Source organism: Homo sapiens, chromosome 2, assembly GCF_000001405.40.
Source record: "Homo sapiens chromosome 2, GRCh38.p14 Primary Assembly".
In the NCBI taxonomy this organism is placed as follows: Eukaryota; Metazoa; Chordata; class Mammalia; order Primates; family Hominidae; genus Homo; species Homo sapiens.
In genome coordinates, this window is record NC_000002.12 from 130,430,314 (window position 1) to 130,449,719 (window position 19,406).

The 19,406-nt window shown below is 46.9% G+C and overlaps 1 pseudogene across 1 annotated transcript, besides 1 other annotated feature; it reads right to left on the reverse strand.

The window, feature by feature from the left end:
- Nucleotides 1–5,348: 5,348 nt before the first annotated feature.
- On the reverse strand, nucleotides 5,349–11,368 carry CYP4F62P (cytochrome P450 family 4 subfamily F member 62, pseudogene; annotated as a pseudogene). The gene is made up of 5 exons (NR_103761.1): nucleotides 10,350–11,368; nucleotides 9,678–9,958; nucleotides 8,972–9,165; nucleotides 7,674–7,871; nucleotides 5,349–6,068 (listed from the first exon to the last, which is right to left on the reverse strand). The product of NR_103761.1 is annotated as a cytochrome P450 family 4 subfamily F member 62, pseudogene (transcript).
- Nucleotides 18,157–18,656: an enhancer, noted in NCBI's record as "H3K4me1 hESC enhancer chr2:131206043-131206542 (GRCh37/hg19 assembly coordinates)". NCBI's record gives its function as "activates a minimal SCP1, AML or CMV promoter by ChIP-STARR-seq in primed H9 embryonic stem cells {active_cell/tissue: H9 hESC(primed)}" and the evidence as "EXISTENCE:reporter gene assay evidence [ECO:0000049][PMID:30033119]".

Sequence of the window (19,406 nt, forward strand, 5' to 3'; positions counted from 1 at the left end):
CATTCCTGATTTTAGCCTCCTTAGGAGAACATTGAAAACATGATTGGTAATAATGTGTATTGACTTGCTTAAAGATGTTACAGGAAAGATTATGCTTAAGAGTAGTTAGAGGGAAATGTATTTTTCAGTTTGTTTCCTAAGCCCTAAGCCGTCTCTTTACCTTACAGTATAAAAGTCGAAATGCGTATAATGGGAGACCAGATATACGGGAAGAGAAGATGAAGGGACTAATATTCGTTGAGCCTTTTAGTAGGGATCTACCTTTTACTAGAGATTGAGCACTCCTCATACATTGTCTCATTAAACCAACTCTCCAAAGTAGTATCTGTCCTGTTCTACCGAAAGAACAACTCAAAAATGTTGCATTGCCAGTAAGTGGTGGAGCTGGAATGTATCTGCCCTCAAAGCTTCACGGACTTGCTTTGAAGAAGATGGTATAATTCAAAGTACTTTCAAAAGGACATAGCAGTATACTGAGGTTAAAAAAAATTAGTATTCCCAAACTGATATCCTTCTGTGAGCTTTGTCACCCTGGCAGTTAGTTGCAATACTACCAATTTGGCCATCAAGAACATTCTGATATGTTTAAGCTACAGTGGGAAAGCCAAGATATGAAAACATCACCCATGGGAATTTTGAGACTAGAGTAGTTAGAAGCTAATTTAAGATCTCCATCCAACTCTAAGATAGGGTAACTGCCAGAAGAGCCGCATGATCCCAAAGTGGAATTTTGCCCTAGTATAATGGGTTAATATTTGATTGGCTGCACTTAACTATAAATCCTGAGGAGAAGAAGAAGAAGAAAGACATCAGAAAATAATTGGGCTAGAAGAACCTTAGTTTGAAAGCAAAACACAGAATCCAGGTAAGTGGGCTTACCAGGAAAAGCTGGTGCCACGTTGCTCTGCACAATGCAGGGCCTTAGGATGGCAATGGTTAGGTTCCTGCTCTCCTGCTGCACCACCATTTCTCCCAAGGCCTTGCTATAGGTCTAAGTATTGGGACAATCTCCAATCCGCTTGGGAGTGATCTCGTCAATAATGGCGTTGTCTATACATAAAAGGTAGTCAGAGTAAAAAGAATTCTAGCAACATGTGTTAGACAATAGACCAAAAGGAAAATGTGAGACACAGTCAAACAAAACTTCCACCTTTTAGCCTTGGTTCTGGAATTCAGAACAGTCACATGATACCAAGTTTGAGCGCGTACCTGTCCAAAGCATGCATGAGCTCTTTTGTCTTCACTGCTAAGCCCAATCTTACAGTCAAATCCTATGCCCTCCCATCCAGACAGGTAGGTAGGTAGACGGATAGAATCAATAGCGATGCCACTTTATTACTACTACTAGTATAGGGCTATTAGTACTACTTTAGCGCTACTATTACTTTGTCAGTACTGATTACTACTTTATCTGTAGTAGTATTAATTTGAGGTAATTACATACAACCTCTTTACTTCCTTTCCAACAAGCTCGTAAGTACATTCATTGCACATATTTTTGAGTCCCAATCATTCTCCCAGTAGTGTGCTGGAAGCTGTGTTCAGGGAGTTTGAGGCTCTCCTCCAAGGTGTTTCAGTGGCAGCCCTGTTCAGTGTTGTCCTATAGAAACCCAGTGCAGTGATCCTGAAGAGTTTAGCTTTACATTTTAAAATTTTCCTTCAATGCAAATCAAACCAAGGTGATTACTTTTGGCAGACTGACAATCTGTTTTACCAAATCTATGTAATGCATTTTGAAGGTCTGTTTAGAGTCTATGATAACAAATTGCTAATTATTTCCAGAGATTTTCAATGAATTCTGAAGTCTGTCAAGTGTGGTGATTATAGTACTCTGAAATTGCTTCAAAACCATGAATATTGAATACTCCTACTTACAAGATGACATGTATCATGAATAACTGAGTTACCATAGCATCAGCCTAGTCTTTCTTAAAAATATGTCAGAACCAGCCGGGCACAGTCACTCATGCCTGTAATCCCAGCATTTTGGGAGGCCATGGCGGGCAGATCACGAGGTCAGGAGATTGAGACCATCCTGGCCAACATGGTGAAACCCCGTCTCTACTAAAAATACAAAAATTAGCTGGGCATGGTGGCGTGCGCCTGTGATCCCAGCTATTCAGGAGGCTGAGGCAGGAGAATCACTTAAACCAGGGAGCAAAGGTTGCAGTAAGCTGAGATCTTGCCACTGCACTCCAGCCTGGTGACAGAGCAAGACTCCATCTCAAAAAAAAAAAAAAAAAAAAGTCAGAACCATTTGATAACCCCAAAATCTATCTACAACTCTCTGAGAGAGCAAAAAAAATTATTGTCAATTAAATATGCAACATGTATTCTAGCTGACAGATCTATGTGGTTAAATTGTTAATATAACATAGCTTTTTAAAAATTAAGCTGTCGGAATATGCTAGGGTGATTTTTCTGATCAATGTGGTCCATTTATTTCTATTTTATACAACAGAACATAACTATACTATTTTGATTGTAGAAAATCTTCACTGTTACCACCTTGCTGACATGACACATTTTTGAACAACTAAGATGTGCATGAGGTTAAGACTCATTCAGAATCACAACTCTCAATATTAATGCCTCATTTGATCCTGGGGTAGAACATGGGCATTGACCATTATGTTTCCATTTTTCTTCCTTTGCTTCTGAGTGCTGAGTGTCTTCTGGATACTAAATGTCTTTTCATTCAAGTTGAATAGAGAAAGATTGAGGGGTTCTAGAATTAAAAACTTAAACTACATAGAAATATCAAGGATATTTTAATTATATGGTCACCTGGGGGCTGGGAAAGAGCATAGGATGATTCATACATCTCTCAATCTTAACAATAATCCTACCGTTACCTCATTTCATTTCTGTGTCAACAGTGGATTGACTGACCTAAGACCATTTCCCCTCAACTGCAAAACTATACAGTTTATGAAAACCAGGTCTTGAGGGAATAGAGCTTAATTTCAATAAGTCTGTAAAGAAAAAATTCCTAGAAAACATCAGAGCCCAAAAATGTACTGGGATTGTATGTCAGATGGCTAGTACCAGTTGCTGTCATTAATGTTGGGGCAGCCGGAAAGGATAATACTTGGAGGGATGGGGGCCTTATAAAGCTTAGTGAGTTTCCTTGTATTAGAAAATGTTGGGTTTTGTTGTTGTTCTTGTTGTTTGTTGTTGTTGTTGTTGCTGTTTTGAAATGAAGTCTTACTCTTGTCGCCCAGGCTGGAGTGCAGTGGCACAATCTTGGCTCACTGTAATCTCCACTCCCCGGGTTCAAGCAATTCTCCTGCCTCAGCCTCCTGAGTAGCTGGGATTTCAGGTGCCCACCACACCTGGCTAATTTTTGTACTTTTAGTAGAGACGGGGTTTCACCATGTTGGCCAGGCTAGTCTCGAACCCCTCACCTCAGGTAATCTGCCCGCCTTGGCCTCCCAAAGTGCTGGGATTCCAGGCATGAAAAAATTTTGGTTTTATAGATTTCTAACAACACACATGGAAGAAATTTTAATATTCTATAGATGGCTTACCTCTGCTACTCTTAGCTGCACCTGTATTCCACTGTTTTATATTCTCGTTCCAATTTTACTTGTGAAAATGGCAATAATTATATTCATTCTAAATTCTCAGGTTATGAGGGTAAACAAAAATATTCACAACTGCATTTAAGTTGTTTGATAAAACAAAATGAGCCAATAAACCTAAGGCACTCCTATTTTTAGATAAAACAATCAGAGAGCATCATATATCTGTGTACGTAATAGTTGGTTTTAAAATGTCATTTCTGGCCATATGTGGTAGCTCAAGCCTGTAATCCCAGCACTTTGAGAGGCCAAGGAAGGAGGATCGCTTGAGTCCACGAGTTTGAGACCAGCCTGGGCAACATAATAAGACCCAGTCCCTACAAAAAAAGTTTTAAAAATTAGCTGGGCATGGTGGTGTGCACCTGTAGTCCCAGCTACTCAGAAGGCTGAGACAGGAGGATTGCTTGAGCCTGAGAGTTGAAGGCTGCAGTGAGCCATAATTGTGTCACCATACTCTAGCCTGGATGACAGAGTGAGACCCTGTCTCAAAATGAATGAATGAGTAAAACAAATAAAAATAAATTATCATTTATAATGCAGCCAGACAGGCCATCTGCTAGCTCATTCAGCCAGTTCCTAGGTTCAGACAGGAGATTAGTGTAAACATGCACATGCACTGATTGGGCAAAGCCCTTCTCAGGACTTTCATTCAATTCAGGGTTGCTGCTGTTGTTTGTTCTCAATATGTTTTTAAACAGTAAATAAGTTACCATGGATAAAAAACACTATATAAACCAAAATACATGTCTGAAATTAATCCAAATGTTCTTCAGTATACTCAAGAAGATGTTTTGACCCAGGGGTCTCAAATACTAAACTCGAATTGCTTCAGAAGAAGCATAAAGTCATTGAAAATTTCAGAAAGCAATATGTATGTCTATGTATGTACATACATAGACACATATACAATTTCTTCCAAAGATTACTATCAATTTTGCTTTCAAACTTATTGAATCAACATGATGATATCATTAATGGTTTCATTATTTATGTATTTATGGAATGAAATACTAAGAAGCATATGGATTTCCCCTCCCCTGACCCTCCAATTTTATCTCATTCAACAAGTTGGCAAGCCTAGTGGTTTATGAGGAAATCTGTTAGAGAGTAAGTAGTGGACACACTGTCTTATGATAACGTTTGCTCTCTCTTTCTCCAGTCTAAATTATATAATTCACTTGATTGTTGTAGTTATCAAGTTGTATTTGTTCATCTGTCTGTCTCCCCACTGGACAGTGCATCCAGGAGAGCAGGGATTATGATTTTTATCTCTGTGTCTAATCACTTTTCTGCCCCCAGGAGCCAGCTACCTTATTCAGTAAATGGATGCTCTTCCACATGGTAATCTTGATTGGCCAATTTCTGTACTATATAAGGTTTTGGGAAGCAGAGATGGACAATGATGAGACAGAGTGGATATACTCAAAAAAAGACAAGGTTGTAGGGAGAATGCAGGAAAGGAAGGAAGGGGGTATCTTTGTAGAGCAGGTAGCAAAATTGGAAGTCAAAGTGTCCAGTGGCAGTGGTGAAAAGTGTTGACCAACCTCGGTTTGATGAAGGTGGCGTGAAAGTCAACTTAAACTTTTCACTGGGAAGCAGGATATTTCTGAGCCTAATGCTTATGGAGAATTGGCCTCTGTATTTCCCTCCAGACTTTCATGAGGCACCCGGCTTGGCCCAAACATGAGCCAGATGCTGAATGGCCTGCCAATGCCTGCCAATGTGAAAATTATTCAGTTTGGTTAAGAAACAATTTACTCATATTCTGGTTTGTATTTGAAGCCTGCTAATATCAAAGTACACAGAATTTTCATTTTTATGTCAGCTACTTAGATGTCATTTTGAAGCTGTGCCACTATGAAATTAAAAACACAGGCCGGGCACAATGGCTTATGCCTGTAATCCCAACACTTTGGCCAAGGTCAGGAGTTGGAGAACAGCCTGGCCAACATGGCGAAATCCCATCTCTACTAAAAACATAAAAATTAGCCAGGCACACTTGCGGGCACCTGGAATCCCAGCTACTCGGGAGGCTGAGGCAGGACAATAGCTGGAACCCAGGAGGCAGAGCCTGCAGTGAGCTGAGATCACGCATTGCACTGTAGCCTGGGAAACAAGAGCAAGACTCAATCTCAAACAAACAAACAAAAAGTACAAGTGCTAGAGTCAGCTTTCACCATTCCCCTAGAACAGATCATCTTTTTCAGTGTTAACAATGTGTTCTATAGCAGGAAGTCAAGACTACTGTCCAAGGTCTGACCTCCTTTGATATCTCCTGGAGGGCTGTGATGAGGGCCACTGCTGCTGGCTGTTGGGGTCTCCATTTCCCTGCCTCTCACCCCTGCACCTTCAGGGCACACGCCACCTTTCCTTTTTTACATGGCAGACTAGCTGTGTCTTCTGGTGGCCACGTAGCTTCAGAAGTGTGGTTTTTAGTAGGTACAGATCTACTAGGAACTTTCATTCAATTAAAGCTTCTAGGAACTGAAAGACAACAGGAGACAAAGAGAGCAGGAGAAAGAGGAAGCATGGGGTATTAGAAGATAAATGATCCTCTTTTCAAATGAAGACTGCTTAATGAAAAGTCTCCTTAAGGCACAATTTCCCAAACTTGCCTGGTCATCAGTGTGAATTACACAAGGCCCCTGGGAAAAATCCAGACTCCTGGGTGCCATTTTAGAACCACTAAATACATCTGCAGAGGTAAGAGTCTGGATAATCTGTATTTTCAACATGGCCTGGAAATTCCAACTGTCAGGTAAATTAGGGAATCACTAATTTAAAAGAAGTCCACTCCATCAACTTAAGTCGTTAAGATTTGAATATATCAGGATTAGCTCTCAAAAACACATTGCTTCTTGGAGTAAACATTTCAACAGAATTGAATTTTAAAATTATTAAATCCCCTAATGCTATCCCTCCCCCACTCCCCTAGCCCCCCACCCACTGACAGGTTCTGGTATGTGATGTTCCCCTCCCTGTGTCCATTTGTTCTCATTGTTCAGCTCCCACTTATGAGTGAGAACATGTGGTGTTTGTTTTTCTGTTTCTGTGTTCGTTTGCTGAGAATGATGACTTCCAGCTTCATCTATGTTCCTGCAAAGGACATGAACTCATCCTTTTTTATGGCTGCAGAGTATTCCATGGTGTATAGGTGCCACATTTTCTTTATCCAGTCTATCACTGATGGGGATTTGGGTTGGTTTCAAGTCTTTGCTATTGGGAACAGTGCCGCAATAAACATATGTGCGCATGTGTCTTTATAGTAGAATGATTTATAATCCTTTGGGTATATACCCAGTAATGGGATTGCTGGGTCAGATGTATTTCTGGTTCTGGATCCTTGAGGAATCACTACACTGTCTTCCACAATGGTTGAACTAATTTACACTCCCACCAACAGTGTAAAAGCGTTCCTATTTCTCCACATCATAATGTAGCACCGAATGTAGATGAGTGCCTAATGTAGATGAGAGGTTGATGGGTGCAGCAAACTACCATGTCATGTGTATACCTATGTAACAAACCTGCACGTTCTCCACATGTATCCCAGAACTTAAAATATAATAATAAAAAAGATTGAAAATTTAAAATTTTAATACAAAATTAGGACTTAGTTATTTGCAAAATACACTGTATTTTCAATTTGAAAAACAAAGGGTTATTGTATGTATTATCAATAAAGTTATATAGTTTCTCATAAAAATAACATTAATAATGGAAAATTCTAAAAGGAAAATAATTAAATTTATTTTAGGACAATTTAAAAATGTATCTGTCAATTTTAACATGAAAATTCTCTTACATTTATACATCCCACATTCTAATAAGGACTAATTTTTATGAGCAGTAAAGAAATGTGTGTATGCGTGTCTGTATACTTACAGGTATATATCTGTTTCTGTGAAAATCTCTCTTTTAGAGTCAGAAAATCTGTTTGGTCCCAGTTCTTACTAATAATATATGATCTCACTAAAGATACTTAAATTCAATAAACTCAATAAACTTTACTCTTAATGAGGTAAGAATGAGAACACAGGTGCCAGCCATGAGCTGCGGTTCCACTGGCACAGGCTTCAGAGATCCTACCTTTAACATCCTCCTTTCATTCATTTGAGCCTGATAAGAAAGTTGTCTCTTGGGAGAGAAGCAAGCATACACCTTGGGGCCAGACAGCCCACGGTCAAAGTTGAACTCCACCACTGTTCAGCTGTGTGACTTTGGGCAAATGACTTTTCCTCTCTGATCCTCATGATCCTTTTTGGTAAAAACAGCAGAATGACAGGTCTATGAAGATTGGAGGAAAGAAAAATGTGTGTCTTAGTTTAAGTTTCCTGGAAGTAGATCCTGAGGCAAAGATTCAAGTATAAAAATTTTATCTGGAGATGACTCCAGGACAGTAATTCTACTGCCAGTTCTTCCTTAGAGTACTAATTGCAGGCAACACCAGTAGAGGAGTGGGGAACTGAGACAGGAATGGAATGTAGCAGTTAAAGGGACCTTCATCAAGAAAGTTTCCACTGTGGGCAGCCAGGACTCAGCCCTGCCGGGTACCTCTGAGAGACAGCATAGAACATGTGCCTCAGAGTCATCCCACCCAGAGCAAGGGAGCTGGGTTATTTATCCACCAATACACACCAGTCACTCCTCAGGGCTTCTTCCAAGGACATGATTCCTCCAGAATGCCCTGCCTGCACTGCAAGAATGAGACCTGGAGGGTCAATGGCAAGAGCCCTGACAGCGCCTCCAGCAGTGAGCAGGACCACAGCCTGGTGTGGAGAGTTTCAGTCCCTCAGTGACCCCAACACACACACACACACACACACACACACACACACACACACACACACATTCTCTCTCTCTCACACACACACACACACACACACATTCTTTCTCTCTCACACACACACACCATACTCCAACACCAACAGAGAACATACATACATACACATACATGCATAGATGACTGTTACCCACTTACATCCTGGTGAATCCATGGGAAAGAAGATAAGGTGGGAATCAGAGGGAAAAGCAAAATTAAGGGGAGTGAGGGTCTTGGGAACAAAATGAAAATATAGGCAGAAAATCAAGGGGGAAGAGTGGTCTGGACACCAAACGCCTGCTGGCTGGCACCTGCTCTACATACACTGTCAGTCATTCTCCAAGCAACCTCGTGGAGTCGAAGGAATTCCCCTCAATTAGAGATGGCAGAAATGTAGTTCAGAAAAGAAAACTGATTTTACTAACTGATTTTACTGCTTCTGGGTTCTGCTCCTTTTCTTGCTAGGCAATCATGACAGAATTGACAAAAACATTTTCCCCCTTCACCACCCGGAGCAGAGCCAATGAGAGGGGCTGGGGAACAGGCCATGAGGCCCTGCACCCACCATTCAATGTCTTCAGGATTAGGACTCTTGCATCACAGGCTGGCAGCACTCCCGATGTCTGGGTGTTTTGTGAGGTTGTACAGGATCTAGTAGAGGCCACTGGCTCTGCTGTCATATCCTAAGAGGCAGCCAGGCAGACTTGGGTCTCTTGGCTGCTTCAGCACCAGAGGATGAACAGCGCCCATACACTGAGGCTTTCGGGAGAATGGGAGGAGGGAAAGGAAGGGCAGAATGGAGTGATGTAGGGTCCATCCATCATATCCCTGGATGGAGAGACCCCTGTTCCCACAGTAGTCCCACACCGGGACCACCACCAGCACTCATGAATATGCCAGCCTCCATTTATATGTCCTCGTCTGACAACTCCTTCCCATTTTCATCCTGGAGGCAAGACTCTGAACACACTAGCTCTGAGGACACCTGTGTGTAACCTGAGACAGTCCCTGAAGACCTTTCATCCAAGCAGGATCCCTCCCTCGCCATCTCCAGACCTGCCCCACAAGCTCCCTCCCTGGTCTCCTGGCTCTTGTTCACTCCTTCCAGGCAGGCTTCTACAGTCATCTCGAAAACATAGCTGACTGTCACTCCTTTATCCAGCATCTTCCATGGCTCCCCAGAGCCCTCCAGATCAAGTTCAAGTACCTTGATCAGACACTTGATCTCAAGCTCCATTCTACCTCCTGAATTAAGATCCCGGAGAAGCCACCTTGCTCAGCACAAGCGCATCAATGAAGTCCGAAGCCTTGAATGTGGCCTTGGCCTTGAGGAAGTCATCAACACCCTGGCTAGTGAGGGTGCGGTGCTGCTGCAAGATGATGGTGTCTGAAGTTGTGCACCAAGTCACAGGCCCTGCAGAAGCATCGCCCCTCAGGAATGGGTAGTACAGGAAGTCCCAGCACAGGCAGATCTGCTGACGCCGTTACACTATGAGGGTACTGAGCTCCAAGATGTCAGCAATAAGTTCACTGGCATTCCTGCAGGGTGAGGCTAGGGAGAGGAAGCAGCTCCGTAACACATATGAAACTCTGGAAGCCCTTCCCAGCCAAAATCTCTGGACCACATTACACCCAGAAATGGGTGCCCTCTCAGCACACTTCTCTCTGCCTCCCTCTCTGAGCTGCCTCCTGGCCCCACATGCCCCAGCCTGGACCAGGGCTTGGAGCCCAGCAGGTGTTCAGTTCATGGTGTTGACTGCTTCCTGGCACAGGAGAGCCTTTGGTAGCTCTGTGACTCCTCCTGTGGAACCCCTGCCTCTGCCTCAGGACCTCCCTATTCCCATGGGAAGACTCCAAGGATTGCCCCACCTGCCCAGGGATCCTCCAACCCCATAGGCCTTACTTGATGCCTTATCCCTCCCAGAACATGACATGCTTCTCACAAGGTGACTTATTTCCAAGGCCATCTGTGGATGTTTGCTGGGGACCTCTTGCTCTTCTCCTTTATGATCTGTAGGGCAGGGCCAAGAGGAGAAACCAGCCCAACCTCAGAACAAACAAAGGCTCACTGCCACAAATGGCAACCACCAAACAGTCAGCAGTGCTTCTGGGAGGAAAGGAGGTTTCATTCCGCACAAAGCTCCTTGTTTGGTTTCTTTCTGAATCCGGGGAGGGGTAGGTACCAAGCCCAGCTTACCTGCGGTGTCTACATTACCATCTGTGCCTAGGATGTGCAAAGGGCCCCTGCTCCCACCGAAGGGTTGACGTTCCCTCCAGCTGGAGACCTGGGCTCCTGACACCGCCTGGCCTGTTTGTCCTGCTCTGGATGAGCATGGAAAGGCTGTACCTGGTATTTCCCTAGGTCCTTGGTTTCTACCACCTAGACATCCAGCAGGAGTGACCATGTCTAGCACCACACCTGAAAGGGGACTCCCTTGTACAGCAGCCCAGACATCTACAGATGGAAGAGTGCTCAGTGAGACAGGCCACAGGGGTCCCCAGGGAGGATCAGGGGGTGGAGGATTCTGGAGGTTTCCAGCCTTGGGCTCTGTGGTTCCTCAAAGAGGTTAGGTCTACCTAGTACCAGGCCTCCCCTCCCACGATTCAAAGACTGAATGAGTGTCCAGCATCAGGAACTCTGTTCTGGACCTGTTTTTTCATTTAGGTCACCAAGGGACAACCCCTAACCCCTGAGCTAGGGATGGTCCAAGCTCTGGCATGAGATTTTCCTCCAGCAATGTGATGCTTACAGGGACAGGTAGAAAAGCTGGTGACCAGGCCTGCTGTCCTCTGGGTAAGGAGTGTGCCACCCACCCTCTGAGATGCAGGTGGTGCCAGGCCACAGCACTGGGTGCCTGTACCCCTGGCTCTGCAGACACCGGTCATGGAGGTCCCTCCCTCCACATTACCTTCTTGCTGCTCCTAGATTTCTTCTAGTCATTAAGCACTTTGAGTCACTTTTCTGTGCATCCAATTTTACATTTTTGCTCTCAGATGAAACAGAATAAAGTATGCTGAGCTGCCAGGATTCCTGGAGGGGACCTTGGATGCTGAGTCTTGGGATCCAGGGCCCTGATGGGACTGAACCAGAAAGAGCCAGGGAAGGACAAAGATTGGGGCTGAGCCCCTATGATTTGGGGCTCAGCCCCCAATGGCCATTGGTGGGCTGGCCTTATGGTCCCAAGACACCTTGTCCTCAGGCCAGAGGCACCATGGGCTTTGGTCGGGTCCCAGCCTCCCAGTAGTGTCCTGGCACTAGCAGGAGCTGACCCCTGAGCCACAACTGCAGTTCTGGGTTTGGGGTTTGGTAAAACCACCTCAAGGACAGAGTCTTGGGATCGGGTTTGCCAGGAACCATGGTGCCTCCCAGAGATGGTGTGTCACTCCCACTCGCCACGAAATGTGCACACAGGCTGTCCCCATGTCCATCCCATCCCGCTGGACAGGATGGAGGAAGTCAGGGAACAGGCATGGTGGACAGCTGGGGTGCAGGGAGAGGCAGGTGCATGCTGGGAGGTCAGGCCCTGCGAGGGCTGTGGAGGCATCAGGTGGAGCGGGCTCCAGGTGCACCTTCAGTGTACTGGGCACGTCTGAGGCCAGGCTCACTGGACCCTGGATGTGTGATGTGGTCAATCACTGGGGGAATGTTGTCAGGTCCCAGACACCCACCCTGGGCAGCACTGTCTCATCTCAGGACTGGACTTTCTGAGTCCTAAGACAAGACAGTGCTGCCCAGGCCTGACAGCCTGGGAGGACCTGTTACGTCCTCCATCCCTAGACTAGCCTCCCAACAGCAGGGACAGTCTCTTATCTTCACCTTCAGGGAACTGACTGATCCATCTCACTCTAAGCCAATCGAGGCAGAGCTGAGGACCTGCACCAGTCTGGGAGCCAGTCCCCTCCCCAAATGGGCCTGAGGGAAGCACCATCCCTGTCCCAATCTGCCACAAGTTTCAGCCCAGGAGACACATGGGGAAGGGAGGACGGGGCATCCCTGCTGGCTGACACTGGAAAAGTGGGACCTGGGAGAATGGGGAGCACAAGGCTGGCAGGGGATGCTCCAGGCCCATGGAGAGCTCAGGCTGCACCATGGGGTTGCCCCTCCTGGGTGGAGGCTGTGCCCTCTACAGGATCTGAGGAAGTCCAGTCCTGAGATGGGACAGCGCTGCCCAGGGTAGGTAGCCGGGACCTGAGAGCAGTCCCCCAGGGAGTGACCACATCACCTGGCTGGGGTCCAGGGAGCTTGGGGTGAGACCCACCCAGTGCACTGAGGGTGCACCTGGAGCCCAACCCACCTGACACCCTCACAGCCTTCACAGGGTCTGACGTCCCACCATGCACCTACCTCTCCCTGCACCGCACTGCCCACCCTGCCTGTTCCCTGGCTTTCTCCATCCTGTGCAGCCCATAGACTGTGACCATCTCTCCAGACACTCTGACCCTTTCTTCACCTTTGTCCTGTCAGAATCTCTGAGCAACATCTCCCAGGTCCATCCAAACAACTGCTTTGTCCACTTTTGACCAGGCCGTTGGGCATCACTGGGCCATCCCAGCTGTCCAGAGGGCCCTTGATAACGTGCAATGCACCTGGCTTCTCCAAGCAGCACTCAGCAGTCCCCACTGACCAGGTTCCTGCTGACCAGACCCCACACATCAGGTCTTCCCTGACCACACCCTCACTGATTAGATCCCCATCACCAGGACCCACTAACAAGACCCCTGCTTCCAGGCCAACAATGACCATGACTCCACTGACCAGGACCTTACTGACAAGGCCTCATGGACAAGGCCTCACTGAACAGGACCTTACTGACCAGGCCTCCCTGACAAGGCCTCACTGACCAGGTCCTTACTGACCAGGCCTCACTGACAAGGCCTCACTGACAAAGTCCTTACTAACAAGGCCTCACTGACCAGGACCTTATTGACAAGGCCTCATGGATGAGCTCCTTACTGACAAGTCCTCACTGACCAGGACCTTATTGACAAGGCCTCACGGACCAGGTCCTTACTGACAAGTCCTCACTGACCAGGACCTTATTGACAAGGCCTCACTGACCAGGTCCTTACTGACAAGGCCTCACTGACAAGGCCTCATGGACCAGGTCCTAACTGAGACCTCACTGATCAGGACCTTATTGACAAGGCCTCACTGACCAGGTCCTTACTGACAAGGCCCCACTGACAAGGCCTCACTGACAAGGTCATTACTGACAAGGCATCACTGATCAGATTCCACTGATCATGACCCCACTACCTGGCCCCACAGATGAGGCCCCACTGACCAGGCCTCCAGGGAACAGGCTGCCACTGATCAGGCCCCTACTAACCAGGCCTGAGGTGACCAGATGCCCCTGACTGGGACCCTAGTGAGTAGGCCCCACTGAACAGGCACCGACTGCTCAGGTCCCCGCTGACCAGGTCACCCCGTAGACCAGTGGTACAAAAGCCACCACTGACCAAGTCATCACTGACCAGGCCCCCACTGATGAGGTTCCACTGACCAGGCTGCCCTGATCAGGGCCCCACTGACAAGGGCCTCACTGATGAGGACAAGCCCACCAGGCCCTGCTGACTAGGTCCCATGTGACTAGTCCTCCACTGAATAGCAGCCCTTGACCTGGTCACCAGTGACCCAGCCCATGCTGACCAGGCCACCACTAAGCCCAGCTGACCAGGTCGCCACTGGTCAAGCCCCACAGCCCAGGTCTGCACTGACCAGACACCAAACAACTGGCTGCCAATAGGTCCCCACTCGCCAAAACCCCCACTACTGGATCCCCCTAATGAGACCCTCCCTAAGCAGACCCCTGCTGGCCAGGCTCCCACTAAACAGGCCTCACTGACCAAGTCCCAACTGACTAGGTCCACTGAGCAGGCCCACACTGATCAGGCCCCTCCTAACCACATCAGAAGGCCAAGTGGCAATGAGATGTTTCATATGGCAGAAATAGAAGCAAGACACAGAGAGAAAAGAGGTGCCACAGCCCATTATACAACCAGATCACATGAGAACTCACTATCAGATCAGCATCAAGAAGATTAACCACTGGTGAAGGATCCACCACACACACCACCGCCTACTGTTTCCAGGCAGAAGCCTCCTGCAGAGGCAGAGCCTCTTGGGAAACTTCTACTATGGCAGTGCAGAAGGGAAATATGGGCTTGGAGCCCCCACACAGGAGGCCACCATCCTCCAGACCCCAGATTCATAAGCCCACCAACAGCCCGCACCCTCAGTATGCAAAAGCACTCAACACCAGCCCAGCCCATGAGAGCAGCCATGGGGGCTAAAGCCTGCAAAGCCACAGGAGCACTGCCCTAGCAGAGGTTTTCCATGAGGATGTGACTCTGCAGCAGGCTACTCCCGCTTCCTAATACCCACCATCCTCTCACCACCCTACTGACAACCCACTCCTCCCAACACTATCCACTTTATTTCCTTCCAACTCCAACCCCCTCCCATCCATGGTTAAATCACCTTCCACCAGGCCCCATCTCCAACATTCAAGATTACAATTCACATGAGTTTCTGTAGGGAAACACAGCCAAACCATGTTATTCTGACCCTGACCCCTCTGAATCTCATGTCCTTCTCACAGAGCAAAATACAATCACACCTTTTCAAAAGTTGCCAAAAGTCTTAACTCATTCCAGCATTAACTCAAATGTAAAAGGTTCAACGTCTCATCTGAGACAAGCCTACAGTCCCTTTTGCCTATAAGTCCCTGAATTTAAAAGGGTGTTCTTTTAAGACACAATGATGGTACACCCATTGGGTAAGCTTTCTCAGTCCAACGGGAAGAAATTTCCCAGCAAAATAACACAGATGGGACCACAGGACCAATGCAAGTCCAAAACCCAGGAGACCAGTATCCATTCAATCTCACTGCTCCAAAATCATGAAGAGAACTCACCATCACAAGGACAGAAATAAGGAGATTGTGTCTAATCATTTGTGAAGGAGCCACCATCACTTTTCACCCCTCACCCCCAACATAATCTCCCCATTCTCCCTATCCCCCACCTCCCAACCCCCACTCTCCACCATGATTAAATCACCTTCCACCAGGCCCCACCTTTAACATTCCCCATTACAATTCCACACGAATTTTGGTAGGGACACAGAGCTAAATTTTATTATTCTCTCCCTGGCTCCCCAAATCTCATGTCCTTCTCACATTGCAAACTACAATGATAGCTTCCCTACAGTCCCCCAAAGTCTTATATCATTTCATCATTTATACAAATGTTCAAAGCTTAAAGTCTCATCTAACACAAGGCTGCAGACCCTTAGGCTCATGAGCCTCTGAAATATAAAGAAAGTTAACTACTTCCAAGGTACAATGCTTATACAGGCAATGGGTAAGCATTCCCAGCCAAAAGGAATAATTTTGCCAGAAAGAACAAAACACAGAAAGGACTCACAGGCCCCATGAAACTCCAAACCCAGAAGGCCAGTCACTCAATCCTACAGCTCCAAAATTACCCTTTTTGAAACCTTGTCCCACATCCAGGGCACAGGGATGTAAGGGCTGGGCTCCCAAGGCCTTGGGCAGCTCTGCACCTGTGGCTTTGCAGGGTTTATACCCCACGGCTGTCTTCATGGGCTGGGCTGGTGTTGAGCGCCTGTAGCTTTTACCCACTGACGGTACAAGCTGTTGCGGGGTGTATTAATCTGCGGTCTTCATGATGGTGGCCTCCAGTGTGGGGGCTCCAACCCCATATTTTCCTTCTGCACTGCCCTAGTAGAGGTTTCTTATGAGGTTCTGCCTTTTAGGAAGGCTTTTGCCTAGACACCCAGACATTTCCATACATCCTCCAAAATCTATACAGAGCCTCCCAAGCCCCTAGGCTCATGCTCCATCCAACCAGTGGCTTAACACTATGAGGAAGTTCATGAGAACTCACTATCACGAGGTCAGCATCAAGAAGATGGTGCTTAATCATTAGTGAAGGATCCGTCCCCAACCCACCTCCACCCCCTCCTGTTTCCGGACAGAAGCCTGAGGCAGAGCCTGAGCCTCTTGGAAAACCTGTACTATGGCAGTGCAGAAGAAAAATTTGGGCTTGGAGCCCCTATGCAGGAGGCCACCATCCTCCAGAGCCCAGATTCATAGACCCATCAACAGCTCGCACCTTCAGTATGGAAAAGCTACCGGCACTCAACACCAGCCCAGCCCATGAGAGCAGCCACGGGGGCTACACCCTGCAAAGCCACAGGTGCACAGTCCTAGCAGAGGTTTTCCACGAGCCTCTGCCTCTGCAGCAGGCTACTCCTCCTTCCTACTACCCCCACCCTCCCACCACCCTACAGCGAGCTTACTCCTCACCACGCTACCCACCTCTTTTTCCCTCCAACCCCACCCACCTCCCATCCATGATTAAATCACCTCCCACCAGGCTCCACCTCCAACATTCGGGATTGCAATTCCACATGAGTTTTTCTAGGGAAACACAGCCAAACCATATTATTCTGACCTTGACCCCCTCCCCCGAATCTCATGTCATTCTCACAGAGTAAAATACAGTCATGCCTTTTCAAATGTTTACAAAAGCCTTAACTCATTCCAGCATTAACTCAAATGTAAGAAGTTCAAAGTCTTACCTGATACAAGGCTACGGTCTCTTCTGCCAAGGAGTCCCTGAACTTAAAATGGAGTTCTTTTAAGGTACGATGATGGTACAGGCATTGGGTAAGCTTTCTCACTCCAAAGGGAAGAAATTTCCCAGAAAAATAACACAAATGGGACCACAGGCCCAATGCACGTCCAAAACCCAGCAGGCCAGTATTCAAATCTCAAAGCTCCTAAACCATGAAGCAAACTCACTATCAGAAGGACAGCATTACAAAGATGGTGTTTAACCATTTGTGAAGAATCTGCCCCCCACCTCTGCTTTTCCCCGCAACCCCAACACAATCCCCCCCAATGCTCCCAACCACCCCCACCTTCCAAACTCCACTCTCCACCATGATTAAATCACCTTCCACCAGTCCCCACCTTTAACTTTGCCCATTACAATTCCACATGAGCTTTGGTAGGGACACAGAGCCAAATCATATTATTCTGTCCCTGGTCCCCCAAATCTCCTGTTTCTTACATTGCAGAATACAATGATACCTTCCCTACAGTCCCCCAAATCTTAAATAATTCCAGCATTTACTCAAATGTCCAAAGCCCAAAGTCTCGTCTGAGACAAGGCTACAGTCCGATCTGCCCCTGAGTTTCTGAATTATAAAGCAAGTTAACTAATTCCAAGGCACAATGATTGTACATGCAATGGGTAAGCATTCCCAGCCAGTAGAAAAAAAATGCCAGAAAGAAAAACAAAACACAGATGGGACTCACAGGATACATGAACATCCAAAACCCAGCAGGCCAGTCATTCAATCCGACAGCTCCAAAATCATCCTTTTTGAATCCTCGTCCCACATCCATGGCACAGGGCTGTGAGGGCTGGGCTCCCAAGGCCTTGGGCAGATCTGTACCTGTGGCTTCGCAGCGTTCAGCACCCACAGCTGCCTCTCATGGACAGGGCTGTTTTGAATGCCTGTAGCTTTTCCACACTGAGGGTGCAAGATGTTGGTGGGTCTATGAATCTGGGGTTTGGAGAATGGAGCCTCCCTGTGAGGGGGCTTCAACCCTACATGGCCCTTCTTTGCTGCCCTAGCAGAGGTTTTCCATGAGCCTCTTGGAAAGGCTACTGCCTGGACACCCAGGCTTTTCTCTACATCCTCTGGAGTCCAGACAAGAGGCTCCAAAGCCTCTAGTCTCTTGCTCTCTTCACCTGCTGCCTTAACACTATGTGGAAGCCATCAAGGCTTGGAGCCACATCTGAAGTAGTGACCCAAGCTGTACCTGTGCATCATTCAGCCATGGCTGGAGCTGGGGCTGCAGGGATGCAGGCAGCAGTGTCCTGAGGATGCACACAGCAGCAGGGCCATGGAGCTGGCCCAGGAAGCCATTCTTCTCTGTTAGGCCCCAGGGCCTGTGAGAGCAAGGGCTACTGCAAAGGTCTCTGAAATGCCTCCAAGGCCTTTTACCCTTTGTCTTGGATACTTGCACTAAGCTCCTTTTTATGCAAATACTCTAAGCCGTATTGAATTTTCCCCCTGAAAATCAGCTTTTCTTTTTGACCACTTGACTAGGCTGCAAATTTTCCAAACTTTTAAGCTCCGCTTCTCATTTAAGTAGAAGTTCCAACTTGAGGTCATTTCTTAGCTCATACATAACAACACAGGCTGTTCGACGCAGACAGGACACCTCTTGAGCTATGCTGCTCAGATGTTCATTCCACAAGATACATCCTAAATCATCACCCCCAAGTTCATAGTTTCACAGATCTCCAGGGCAAGGTCACTGTGCAGCCTCTGTTGGGCAAATCAAATGTAGTATTGGCTCCTATTCACAGGAAATTCCTGGTTTTCATCCGAGAACTTTTAAGTCTGGCCTTCACTGTCCATCCTTCTGTCAGCCTTCTGATCACAAGTATTTAACAATTCTCTACAGTGGTCCAAGCTTTTCCTCATCTTGCTGTCTTTTAAGCTTTCCCAACTCTCCCGACCTCTGTCTTTTACCCACTACTGAACCTGCTTCTACATTATCAGCTCTCTGTGTCACAGCCTGGCAATGTGGTAAAAGAAGAAAAGTCCATTTTCAGGGAAAAAATTCACATAGGCTTCAGATATTTGCATGAAAAGAAGCTGAGTGCTGCTTGCCAAGACAATGGGGAAAAGGCCTTGAAGGCATTTCATAGGGAAAAGACCTTGAAGGAATTTCATAGCTTCCCTTCACAGTACTAACCTTCTGTATGATCAAAAAGAAAAGAGGTTTCATTGGCTCACAGTTCTGCAGGCTGCAAAGGAAGCATAGTAGTTTCTGCTTCTGGGAGGACTCAGGTGCTCCCAATCTTACTAGAAGACCAAGCGGCAAGGAGATGTTTCATACAGCAGGAGAAGGAGCAAGACAGAGAGAGGAAAGAGGTGCCACATCATGTTA